Raw genomic sequence first — 12,014 nt, forward strand, 5'->3', positions numbered from 1 at the left:
AATTCACGGCCATGGCCACAAAGAAGTTAAAATCCTACCCAAAATTATATTCCGGGTTTCCAACGATCTTAATCAATTTGGAACTTAATCTCTGTATCTGAAGATTTGCTGTATAAACAACCCTGGGCAGCGCGAACGACAGGGCCCAGGAAAAAACAGGCTTCAACTGGGCCAGGCTGGAACTCTGCAGCCAAGGAGGCTCAGCCTCAGCGGCCCGTCCTGGCGTAGCTCAAGGTGTCTCTAGACAATTACCTAAGTCCCTGAACTACTCGCACCCCCAGCGATCCAGGGCCGTGGCCCAGTCCTGGAGAAGGTATACTTTTTACCCCTCCCCCTCCACTCTCCTGCCCGCCCCTGACGTTTCTTCCCCCTGCGAGAAAGGCTCCAGAATTTCGCTTAATAAACCTGGTTGAGGCCTGGAAGAAAAGCAATCTGGCAACCGGGGGCCGAAGAACAGGAGAGGACCAAGCGGCGAGACACCAGCACGCACCAGGCAAGCTGGAGAAACTGCAAGAGTCGCCTGACCTGGTCTGCAGCCTGAGACCAAACAACGCGAGGGCGGCCTTACCTCGCGAATCCTCGGGACCCCACAACGCACCCAAAGCCGGCAGGGAGGGTGGTCCGGGGCGCCGGGGACACAGCCGGGCTGGGGCGCCGCGTCAGAGCCAAGTAGGCGTCTCCTGTCAGGTCCAGAGGTCTGAGCAGTGGAGGGAGACTCCGGGAGCCGAAAGTGAAGCGGGTCCCGCACCAAGGAGACGTTGAGGGCCGCACAGGTAGAAGGAAGCCAGGGCGGCCGCAGTAGAATGACAGAGGCGCCGGTCACGTGATCGGAGGCACGTGACTGCTGCGGAAGGCGGAAGCCGGGAGACTCCAAAGCAGCAAGAGGAGGGGCGGGCGCTGCGGCGGGGCTTGTTCGGTGCGGACAACTGGATTCCCGAGTCCGTAACTTGGGCCCCGGAGCGACGCAAGGGTCGGGCCCCAGCCAGCCAGGGCAGGTGGGAGGCGGCGAGCGTGGCGGGCACGCTAAGACCCGCCGCCCCCAGACCTAGTGCCTCGCCTAGGGGAGGCCGAGGACCTCCGCCCGGAAGCAGCTAGCAGAGGCCAAAACGCTCTTATTGTAACCGTCATTCTTTTGAAAAGTTTGATTTCGCGCTTTCAAATTAATTTCCATTTGGATTTAACAGCTCCATGAAGCAGGCGTTCTTATTCTGATTTTAAATAGAAAACTCGGGCTGAGAAGTGGGTCTGAAAAGCTCTCTTAACCTAGGGTTGCACATTTAGCAAATAATAAATTCCATTGCAGTATTTACTTTTATACTAAAAAGTTATTCGTTGTTTATCTAAAATTCACATTTACAGGACGTCTGGTATTTTATCCAACAGTCCCATCTGGAGCCCAAATTTTCCCCTAGTCCAGGCCTCAGCAACTGTCTTTGCCTTAAAGTAAGAATGTACTGCCCTGGAGGTGAAGTATATATGATAGCATGTTTTCCTTAAAAAGCAATGAAAGGGGCCGGGCGCGGTGGCTCACTCCTGTAATCCCAGCACTTTGGGAGGCCGAGGCCAGTGGATCACCTGAGGTCTGGAGTTCGAGACCAGCTGACCAACATGGTGAAACCCCATCTCTACTAAAAATACAAAAAATTAGCTGGGTGTGGTGGCGCATGCCTGTAATCCCAGCTGCTTGGGAGGCTGAGGTAGGAAAATCACTTGAACCCAGGAGGCAGAGGTTGCAGTGAGCCAAGACCGCACCATTGTACTCCAGCCTGGGCAGAAAAAGCAAAACTCCGTCTCAAAAAGAAAAAAAAAAAATTCTTTGAAAGGGATTTATAACCAACCCATTTTTACTCGTAAAATTAAAGTCAGAATAATCAAAATCATGCATTGATTATGAATAAAGATATATAATAACAGTGTCAAAGATTGTACTAGGTCACTCATTCTGTCTTAGCCAGAAGTGAAAGTCTGTTGTTTTGAAAGCAAATCTAAGGGGAAAAACTTTCATAAAAGAGAAAAAGAAACCGATCGTGTACTAAGAAACTCCCAAAAGCTGAAACAGCATGTTTTCTGTGTAACTGAGCAAAGCTGGCAGTGAGGCCTGATCTTCGCATTTCCTTTCTGTATCACCTAAGCCACAGACTGGCGTGATACAGCGAGTCTCATCAGATTTCGGGAGGCTCTCCTCTTTTCCTAGAGGCACAAAGTTATGGAACAAAATCAGGAACAGTGCAGTGAGCAGAGGGGACTGCTTCACAGGCACCTGGGCTGGCGTTCTCCGAGCATCACAACATTACCAGACAATTTGCCTGGAGTAGGGAGAAGAGAAGAGGCAGGTACTCCCGGCATTATCTCTCTTAACATTATTTCTGTAACACTTCTATCGGAGATTTTTCTTGGTCCATTCAGGCTCCTGTAACAGTGCTGTAGACTGGGTGGCTTATAAACAACAGAAAGTCATTTTCTCACAGTTCTGGAGGTTGAAAGTTCAGAATTGGGGTGCTATCATGGTGAGGTTCTGGGAAGGATTGTCCCAGGTTGCAAACTGCTGTCTTCTCATTGTAGCTTCACATGGTGGAGAGGTGAGAGAGCTCTCTGGGGTCTCTTTCATAAGGACATTAATTTCATTCATGAGAGCTCCACCCTCATGACCTGATCATTTCCCAAAGGTCCCACCTCCTAATATCATCACCTTGGGAGTTAGGATTTCAACACAGGAATTTTGGGGAGACACAGACCATAGCGGTGATCTCAGTTACCTAATTATATAACATACCTGGGGTCCCCATACCCTGGGCCACAGACTGGTGTGGTCCATGGCCTGTTAGGAACCCGGCTGCACAGCAGGAGGTGAGCGGCGGGCAAGCCCCATTACCGCCTAAACTCTGCCTCCTGTCAGATCAGCAGCGGTAGTAGATTTTCACAGAAGCATGAACCCTATCGTGAACTGCACATTGCAAGGGATCTAGGTTGCACACTCTGTATGAGAATCTAATGCCTGATGAGCTGAGGTGGAACAGTGTCATCCTGAAACCAGCCCCATCACCTCCCACCCTGTCTGTGGAAGAATTGTCTTCCTCGAAACTGGCCCCTGGTACCAAAAGGGTTGGGGACTGCTGTATTATGACATAAGAAAGATAACCTTTGAGCTACTTTGTAATTTCTTTGAAATTGAGCTTCAGATTTGTTATTTAGAAATGACATAAGGGGAAGTTAGATGAATCTATATGGACAGGAGAAAATAATATTAATAATGTATTTATTAAGTTAATGTTCAATTCTTCACTAGAATAGGATTACATGTTTGGAGATGTAAACTAGGAATCTACCACTTAGGAATCATCAGAAGGTAGAAAATATATGACGTTTCAAAGGAATTTCTTCTGTCTGAAATATATGGAATGCTATAAACACCATCATTTCCAATCTTTTCTTTCCAAGTATGAATTGAACTTATATTTGCCCACAGAAGTAGAAGAGTTCTAGTCAAAGAAAATCCTATTCTAAAATATTTGTCATGAAAACTTACCACCCCCAAGTGAAGATTATGCTGCCAGCCTACCTTCAGTTACACAAGGACTTTGAGAAGTTTTTATAGCTGACTGAATAAATTATTAGTTTAATGGAAGAATGGTTTTTCCATTCTTTCACACAGTCTCCTTGGGAACAATAGGCATTTGCAAGAAGCTGGCCTAGTTTGGCCTAATGGTAACACTGAGTAGTGACGTCATGACCCCTTCACAAAGTGCTCTAACCAACTGTCCTAACAACTTCTGATTGCTTTGGTATTGCCAAAGCACATCTATCATCAATCATGCTGGTTTTCACTTACACTCCATACCAGTGTCCTGAATACTCATGGCAACCAAGCTTCAGATTTTTCAGGTAAGTTAATTTCATTGCATTGCACCATCGGCCCCATAAGGACAACCTCCACAATTTGACATTTTAAAAATATGGTCCATGTGGTAGACAGCTTCTGAAATGGCTCTTAATGATCACCACCTCCCAATGACTCATATCCTTGTGAAATCCTCTCTTCTTGAGTGTGGGCTAGATCTACTGATGTTCCTATAAGGACCAGAAAATGGCAAAAGTAAAGGGATGTCACTTCTGAGATCAGGTTACAATGCAAGCTGCCTTGCTTGCATTATCCCAGGTTCTTCTCACTTGCTCACTCTGATGAAGCAAGGTGCTGTGTTGTTAACCATAAAGAGGCTGATGTGACCAAGCTAAGAATAGCCCCAAGTGAACAACTAGTAGAAAATTGAAGCCCTTAGTCCAACAGGCTTCAAAGAACCAAATGTGGACAACTGCATGGGTGAGCCTGAAAGTGAGCCCAGCTGAGCTTTGAAATGTTAGCAGCCAACACCTTCACTGCAGCCTTGCAAGAGACCTGGCACCAGAAAACACAGCTATACTGCAGCTTGGTTCCTGAAATTGCAATGATGTATGAGATTTATTGCCCCACTCGAAAACATTTGGTCAATTTAGGAAGTTGCCTTTCTTTTTAGAAAATTTAACAGCTTTGTTAAGCTGTAATTCACATACCATGTAACTCACCCATTTAAAAGGTACAATTCAATGGTTTTTAGTATATTCACAGCACTATACAAATATCACCACAATCAATTTTAGCCCATTTTCGTCACTCTAAAAAGAAACCTCTTATCCATTAGTAGTCACTTTCTTCCTCTCCAAAAACCCCCCTGCCCTAGGCAAATACTAATTTTTTTATATCTCAAGATTTGCCTATCCAGGAGATTTCTTTAATAAATGTAATCATACAATATGTGGCCTTTTGTGGATGACTTCTTTCACTTAGCATAAAGTTTTCAAGGTTTATCTATGTTGCAACATGTATCTATACTTCATTCCTTTTTATGGCTGAATAATATTCCATTGTATGATGTACCATATTTTGCTTATCTGCTTACCAGTTAATGGGCATGCAGATTGTTTCAATTTTTTAGACATTTGTGTGCAAGTCTTCGTGCGATCGTAGGTTTCATTTCTGTTATTTGAGTAGATACCTAGGAGTAGAATTGCTGGCTTATGTGGTAACTCTATATTTAACATTTTGAGGAACTGCCAAATTGTTTTCCAAAGTGGTCGCAAGGCCTTGCATTCACCCCAGTAATGAATGAAAGATCTACATTTCTCCACATCCTCACCAACACTGTCATTGTCTGTCTTTTTAGTTAAAGCAAATCCATTTGGGTATGAATAGGTATCTCACTGTGGTTTTGACTTCCTTTTCCCAATGTCTAATAATGTTGAACATCTTTTCGTGTGCTTATTTAGCAATTTGTACATCTTCTTGGGAGAAATGTTTATTTAAACACTTCACCCATTTTTAATTGGTATTTTTTGTTTGTTTTTGAATTGTAAGAGCTCTGTATATATTCTGGATTACAAGTCCCTTATTATTTACATGATCTGCAATATTCTCCCCTATTTTGCGGGTTGCCTTTTCACTTTCTTCTTGATGTACTTTAAAGCACAAAAGTTTTTAATTTTGATTAAGTCTAATTTACCTACTTTCTTGTGCTTTTCATATTGTATCTAAGAAGGCTTTGCCTAATCCAAGGTCAGAAAGATTTAACCTTATGTTTTCTTCTCAGAGTTTCATAGTTTTGGCTATTACATTTGATCTATGATTCATGCTGAATTAGTTTTTGTAAAGAGTGAGAAATAGAGGTCCTATGTAATTTTTCTGCGTGTGGATAACCACTTGTCCCCACACCATTTGCTGAAAAAACAATTCTTTCCCCATTGAATTGTTCTGGCACATTGTCAAAAACCAATCGACCATAAATGTATGGGTTTATTTCTGGACTCTCAATTCTGTCCCATTGATCTACACATCTACATACCTATCCTTATACCAGTACCACACAGTCTTAATTACTGTCACTTTTTAAAATTTTTTTATTTTAATTTTTAGGTTCTCAGGTACATGTGCAGGATGTGCAGGTTTGTTACATAGGTAAACGTGTGGTTTGTGGCACCTATCAACCCATCACCTAGGTATTAAGCCTAGCATACGTTAACTATTTTTCCTAATGCTCTCCCTCCCCCAACCCCACCCCCAACAGGCCCCAGTGTGAGTTGTTCCCCTTCCTGTGTCCACATGTTCTCATTGTTCAGCTCCCACCTGTAAGTGAGAACATGTGGTGTTTGGTTTTCTGTTCCTGCATTTGTTTGCTGAGGATAATGGCTTCCAACTCCATCCATATCCCTGCAAAGGACATGATCTCATTCCTTTTTATGGCTGCATAATATTCCATGGTGTATATGAACCACATTTTCTTTATCCAGCCTATCATTGTTGGGCATATGGGTTGATTACATGTCTTTGCTATTGAGAATAGTGCTGCAATGAATATACATGTGCTGCAAGTATCTTTGTAATAGAATGATTTATATTCCTTTGGGTATATACCCGGTAATGGGATTGCTGGGTCAAATGGTATTTCTGGTTCTAGATCTTTGAGGAATTGCCACACTGTCTTCCACAATGGTTGAACTAATTTACATTCCCACCAACAGTACAAAAGAATTCTTATTTCTCCACAACCTCACCAGCATCTGTTGTTTCTTGACTTTTTAAGAAATTGCCATTCTGACTTGTGAGAGATGGTATCTCATGTGGTTTTGATTTGCATTTCTCTCTTCTTTTTTTTTTTCCCTGAGACAGCGTCTTGCTCTATCACCTAGCCTGGAGTGCAGTGGCGTAATCTCGGGTCACTGCAATCTCCACCTCCCTGGTTCAAACAATTCTCCTGCCTCAGTATCCTGAGTAGCTAGGACTACAGGCATGAGCCACCACACCCAGCTAATTTTTGTATTTTTAGTAGAGACAGTGTTTCACCATGTTAGCCAGGCTGGCCTTGAACTCCTGACCTCCTGGCCTCACCTGCCTCGGCCTCCCAAAGTGCTGGGATTACAGGCATTGAGCCACCATGCCCAGCCTGATTTGCATTTCTCTAATGGTCAGTGATGTCGAGCTTTTTTCATATGTTTGTTGGCCACATGAGTGTTTTCTTTTGACAGTGTCTGTTCATGTCCTTTCCCACTTTTTAATGGGGTTGTTTGTTTTTTTTCTTGTAACTTTGTTTAGGTTCCTTGTAGATTCTGGATATTAGTCCTTTGTCAGATGGATAGACTGCAAAAATGTTCTCTCACTCTGTAGGTTGCCTGTTCACTCTGATGATAATTTCTTTTGCTGTGCAGAAGCTCTTTAGTTTAATTAGATCCCATTTGTCAATTTTTGCTTCTGTTGCAATTGCTTTTGGCGATTTTGTCATGAAATCTTTGCCTGTGCCTATGTCCTGAATGGTATTGCCTAGATTTTGTTCTAGGGTTTTTATAGTTTCGGGTTTTATATTTAAGTCTCTAATCCATCTTGAGTTAATTTGTGTATAAGGTGTAAGGAAGGGGTCCAGTTTCAATGTTCTGTATATGGCTAGCCAGTTTTCCCAACACCATTTATTAAATAGGGAATCCTTTCCCAGTTGCTTTTTTTTTTTTTTTTTTTTTTTTTTTTCAGATTTGTTGATGATCAGATGGTTGTAGATGTGTGGTCTTATTTCTGAGTTCTCTTTTCTGTTCCACTGATCTATGGGTCTGTTTTTGTACCAGTACCATGCTGTTTTGGTTATTGTAACCTTGTAGTATAGTTTGCAGTCTGGTAGCATGGTGCCTCCAGCTTTGTTCTTTTTGCTTAGGATCATCTTGGCTATACAAGCTCTTTTTTGGTTCCATATGAATTTTAAAATGGTTTTTTCTAATTCTGTGAAGAATGTCAATGGTAATTACTGTAGCTTTGTTGTAAGTTTTAAAATTGGGAAGTGTGATCCTTCAACTTTGTTCTTTATCAAGACTGTTTTGGATATTTTGGGTCCCTTATAATTTTTTTTTTTTTTTGAGACAGAGTTTTGCTCTGTCACCCAGGCTGGAGTGCAGTGACATGATCTCGGCTGACTGCAACCTCTGCCTCCCGGGTTCAAGTAATTCTCCTGCCTCAGCCTCCTGAGTAGCTGGGACTACAGGTATATGCCACCACACCCAGCTAATTTTTTTGTATTTTTATTTTTATTATTATTTTTTGAGATGGAGTCTCGCTCTGTTGCCCAGGCTGGAGTGCAGTGGCACGATCTCAGCTCACTGCAAGCTCCGCCTCCTGGGTTCACGCCATTCTCCTGCCTCAGCCTCCGGAGTAGATGGGGCTACAGGCACCCGCCACCGCGCCCGGCTAATTTTTTGTATTTTTAGTAGAGACAGGATTTCACCGTGGTCTCGATCTCCTGACCTCGTGATCCACCCGCCTCGGCCTCCCAAAGTGCTGGGATTACAGACGTGAGCACCATGCCCAGCCTTTTTTAGTAGAGACAGGGTTTCACCATGTTGGTCAGGCTGGTCTCGAACTCCTGACCTCACGATTCACCCACCTCAGCCTCCCAAAGTGCTGGGATTACAGGCGTGAGCCACTGCACCCGGCCCCTTATAATTTTATATGAATTTTAGAATCAACTATCAACTCCTGCAAAAGAAAGGAGCTGACATATGATAGCCATTGTGTTGAATCTGTAAAGCAATTTTACAAAAGGAAACTTTTCCAGTTCATAGACCCCAGTAATACACATCCCTTACCTTTGTGCACCCTCAAACCCAACAGAAGCTATTGGGCATTAGTTGCCTCTTGACAGAAAGGTATTCTACCTTTTCCACTCTGTTTAATAATCTTATATTTATAAAGCAGTTTATAAATATGAAGTATAGTGTTAGAAGCCAATTCTTGGCTTACTCATTGGGTACCTAGTCATCTCATAAGAAAATCAATTTAACTTACTCCACATGATGTATGTAAAAAGAATAATAATTCTTGAGTTTAAGTTTGGGTATGAGTTTTGCATATGTTACTAGCTACAAAGATGACTGCTATTAAGATGACCTTTTAAGAAACCTGGAAAGATTAAGCCAACCATCTGCCTGTCAATTGCATAGCCCAAGATTGTCAAGTACTATTGGCTATCACACACCACTAACACAAGAATTTTTGCCAAACAATCTATTTAATTTATCACTATATGCTAAGCTGTATATCACTTGGATCATTTCTTTCCATTTTGATTTAGGATTACATTTTAATTAAGAATACATTTCTGCCTTTAGAGGGCACTCATAACATACAGTACCTAGACATTCAAAATAAGCAGCTCTACCAGGAATAGAACATGAAAGATCTGTGGATAAGCTGCTGATCCACAAAGCAGGTAATCCTTTTGCTTTCATTAGTATAACTTTTGGAGAAGTCTCCCCACAGATTCAGAGCCAGCCCAGCATTAACCAAACAAAGAGAAGCAGAGTGGATCCTGTGCTAATATTGGGAAAACCAGGCAACAGGACTCATTTGGGGCCTTTATTGTGAAAACATGCCCCAGCTTTCCCAAGATAACCAAGAGTGCCTCCAGAAACATTTCTCCAGGCCGTCTATATGGACACAGTTTCTGCCCCTGTTCAGGGCTCAGAGATATAATACAGACATTCACCAAATCACAGAAAATGAAGGAGACCTCAGGGCTGTTCCTGATATCAAGGTAAGGTGATTTCCACAATCCATGATCCTTTCCCGTCAAGGGAAAGTGTTTACCCAGAAAGAATATAAAACTATACTCAAGCTTTAGTGCCATTGCTCACTTATCTTAATGTTTTATCAAAAATGTTTTCAAACCATCCCCAAGGGAAATCTAGAACCTAGATGATAATTACCTGATCTATCTAGTTTTCTCCAATCTAAACAGATTCCCTTTACCAAAATAAATTATTATGTATTGCTTTTTTGTTTGTTTGCTTGTTTCAGGTGATAACATTCAACAAATCTAGACAGATTTTGTGGCTATTAGTGTTAGCCCTAGGATATCTTTCTCCGATATAAATATTACATCCCATATAATAATGAAAGAAAAATTATAGACCGCTTTCTACAAAAAATTCCTTGGGAAAAAATTGATAAACTAAGAACATAAGAACATTAAGGAGCTGAGGGGTGTTTTTTCCAAATTCAAAGTTTCCAAAGGTGAATTTCCTAAGCATGAGTTTCTATCAGTAGGTAATAACATTATTTCTCCAAAAAGTGACAATTTTCCTGCTGGATGTTGTGTGTATATTTGAAAAAAATACAGTTTGAGTCTGTAAATCCTCTTAGCTATTAATAGAACCATCTCATAAAAGGTTACTTGGCATAGAATATGGACATGTGTTAATGTCTAACAAGCAATGAGCACACTCAAAATTAAATGCTGCAAAACTATAAAACTGTTCAAATACTTTAACACCAGAAAATTCACCTGTTCTTTTGCCGCGGCTCATATCCTGATATCATTATTTATTTGCAAATTCTTTACAAAATTCTCTAGGTCTGCCCTTTCTCCTAATGTTATTTTAACCATTTGGCACAAGTGGAGGGGAAAAAAAAAATAAAAAGGGTCAACACAAAGCTTTTTCTGTAAAAATATACGGACCTGTTCTTTTGAGCTTTCAGACATATGTGAACAAATAACACATGAATTCCCACACCGCCTATTATCATCTAAGCACTAAGAGTTTAGCAAGCTGCAATGAAATGGGATGTAGTGTCCAAGAGTCCTGAATTAATGGACATCTTAATGTAGGCGACACATGCAAAAGATATTTCTAAAAGGCAGAATGTGGAGGCTACTTTGAGGAAACAGAGAGCAACAACAACAAATATACCCATTGTATGGTGCATATGTATGCTGTTGTATATGTGTGTATGTATATGCACCCACACACACATATATATAATTTCAAAGTTCTAACTATCTTGAGAAGGTATGCTCTAAGTGGAATCAAAGACAAATAAAATGCAAAAATATTTAAGAATCAGTATTACACCTTCCCATGGCATCCTGGAATCGACCACACATGCTGGTGCTGGGCAGCCTAACTTCTATCCTAACCTCACTAACCTGTTAACAGGTTCCAGTCTGTACAGCAGCAGGTGAGGGTAGAAGGAAGCAATCCAGTTGGGATGCTACTGGCTCCTTCACTCAGTTTTTGCCTTTTGAAAAAATCTTTTTATATTGCATTTGAATACAGAAAGAGGAGACATGTGCCTCATCTAGCAAATGTAAGGATGGAAACACTCAACTCATTTTGAGTCTGCAGATACCATTGAATCCTTACTAACTGCAAAACCTTGGGCTAGGAGCCATAGGGAATAAAGAGAAAGAGCAAGATATGCTCCCTCCTTTCTAGAGACTTACTGTGTATTGAGAAAGACAAACATATAGCATATTATCAGCATGACTCATGTCAATAACATAAGATACCTACATAATTATTGTATATTCTTTCAATCAGTAAGATATTAGGGGAGGAATATGATCACTATGGGGTAAGACAATTGAAGAAGCCCAGTGTTAGAGTGAAAGCAGTGAAATCTAAGGTAGACGTGAAATAATGTCTAAGAACATATATAGAGGCAGAAAGAGGGAACGTGAGCTAAAATGTATCTAGACGTCAAGGGGTCAGTCAGAAATTCTCCAAAAATCCTCAACCTAAGCTTTGCAGTTCATGCAAAAATTACCCCCAAATATAACATGGGCTTAAATTTACAACTACACGGAGAACTATAGAACTTTTAGGAAAAAAATGGGAGAAAATCTTTATGAGGTAGGGCTAGGTGAAGAATACACAGACACCAAAAAATCATGATCCGTTCAAGAAAAAAAATCAATAAATAAGACTTCATTAGAATCTAAAAAACTTTTGTCCTGCCAAAGACTCTATTGAGAGGGTAAAAGACAGCATACAGATGGCAGGAAAATACTTTCACCCCCATGTCTGCCAAACACCTTGAACCTAGAATAATTCTCAAAACTCAAAAGTAAAAGACAAACAATCCAACAAGAATATGGGCAAAAGACATGAACAGCCATTTTACTGAAGAGAATATGCAGATGGCAAATAAATACATGAAAAGATAGTCA

At 41.3% G+C, this 12,014-nt stretch overlaps 2 protein-coding genes across 8 annotated transcripts in view, besides 3 other annotated features; one reads left to right on the top strand and one right to left on the bottom strand.

The window, feature by feature from the left end:
- Positions 1-780, bottom strand: part of ATP6V1H (ATPase H+ transporting V1 subunit H) — a 127,703-nt gene extending 126,923 nt beyond the window's left edge. For 2 of the 4 annotated variants that reach the window (NM_213619.3, NM_015941.4), the window contains exon 1: positions 569-780. The gene's annotated coding sequence lies outside the window, so the exon portion shown is untranslated. Of the gene's footprint in view, positions 1-405 lie in introns of all 4 variants that reach the window. The other 2 variants (XM_006716455.4, NM_213620.3) reach the window with 1 other exon arrangement.
- Positions 729-868: an enhancer, noted in NCBI's record as "active region_27360". NCBI's record gives its function as "activates an Ori minimal core promoter by ATAC-STARR-seq in GM12878 lymphoblastoid cells {active_cell/tissue: GM12878}" and the evidence as "EXISTENCE:reporter gene assay evidence [ECO:0000049][PMID:35858748]".
- Positions 939-1,088: a silencer, noted in NCBI's record as "silent region_19193". NCBI's record gives its function as "represses an Ori minimal core promoter by ATAC-STARR-seq in GM12878 lymphoblastoid cells {active_cell/tissue: GM12878}" and the evidence as "EXISTENCE:reporter gene assay evidence [ECO:0000049][PMID:35858748]".
- Positions 2,166-2,215: an enhancer, noted in NCBI's record as "active region_27361". NCBI's record gives its function as "activates an Ori minimal core promoter by ATAC-STARR-seq in GM12878 lymphoblastoid cells {active_cell/tissue: GM12878}" and the evidence as "EXISTENCE:reporter gene assay evidence [ECO:0000049][PMID:35858748]".
- The window catches only part of RGS20 (regulator of G protein signaling 20), a 107,509-nt gene continuing 104,824 nt past the window's right edge, over positions 9,330-12,014 (top strand). For all 4 annotated transcript variants that reach the window (NM_170587.4, NM_001286673.2, NM_001286675.2 and 1 more), the window contains exon 1: positions 9,330-9,599. In NM_170587.4, the coding sequence (NP_733466.1) occupies positions 9,435-9,599 (165 nt within the window). In that variant the 5' untranslated portion in view covers positions 9,330-9,434. The remainder of the gene's footprint in view (positions 9,600-12,014) is intronic.

This window comes from Homo sapiens, chromosome 8 (assembly GCF_000001405.40).
Source record: "Homo sapiens chromosome 8, GRCh38.p14 Primary Assembly".
Classification (NCBI taxonomy): Eukaryota; Metazoa; Chordata; class Mammalia; order Primates; family Hominidae; genus Homo; species Homo sapiens.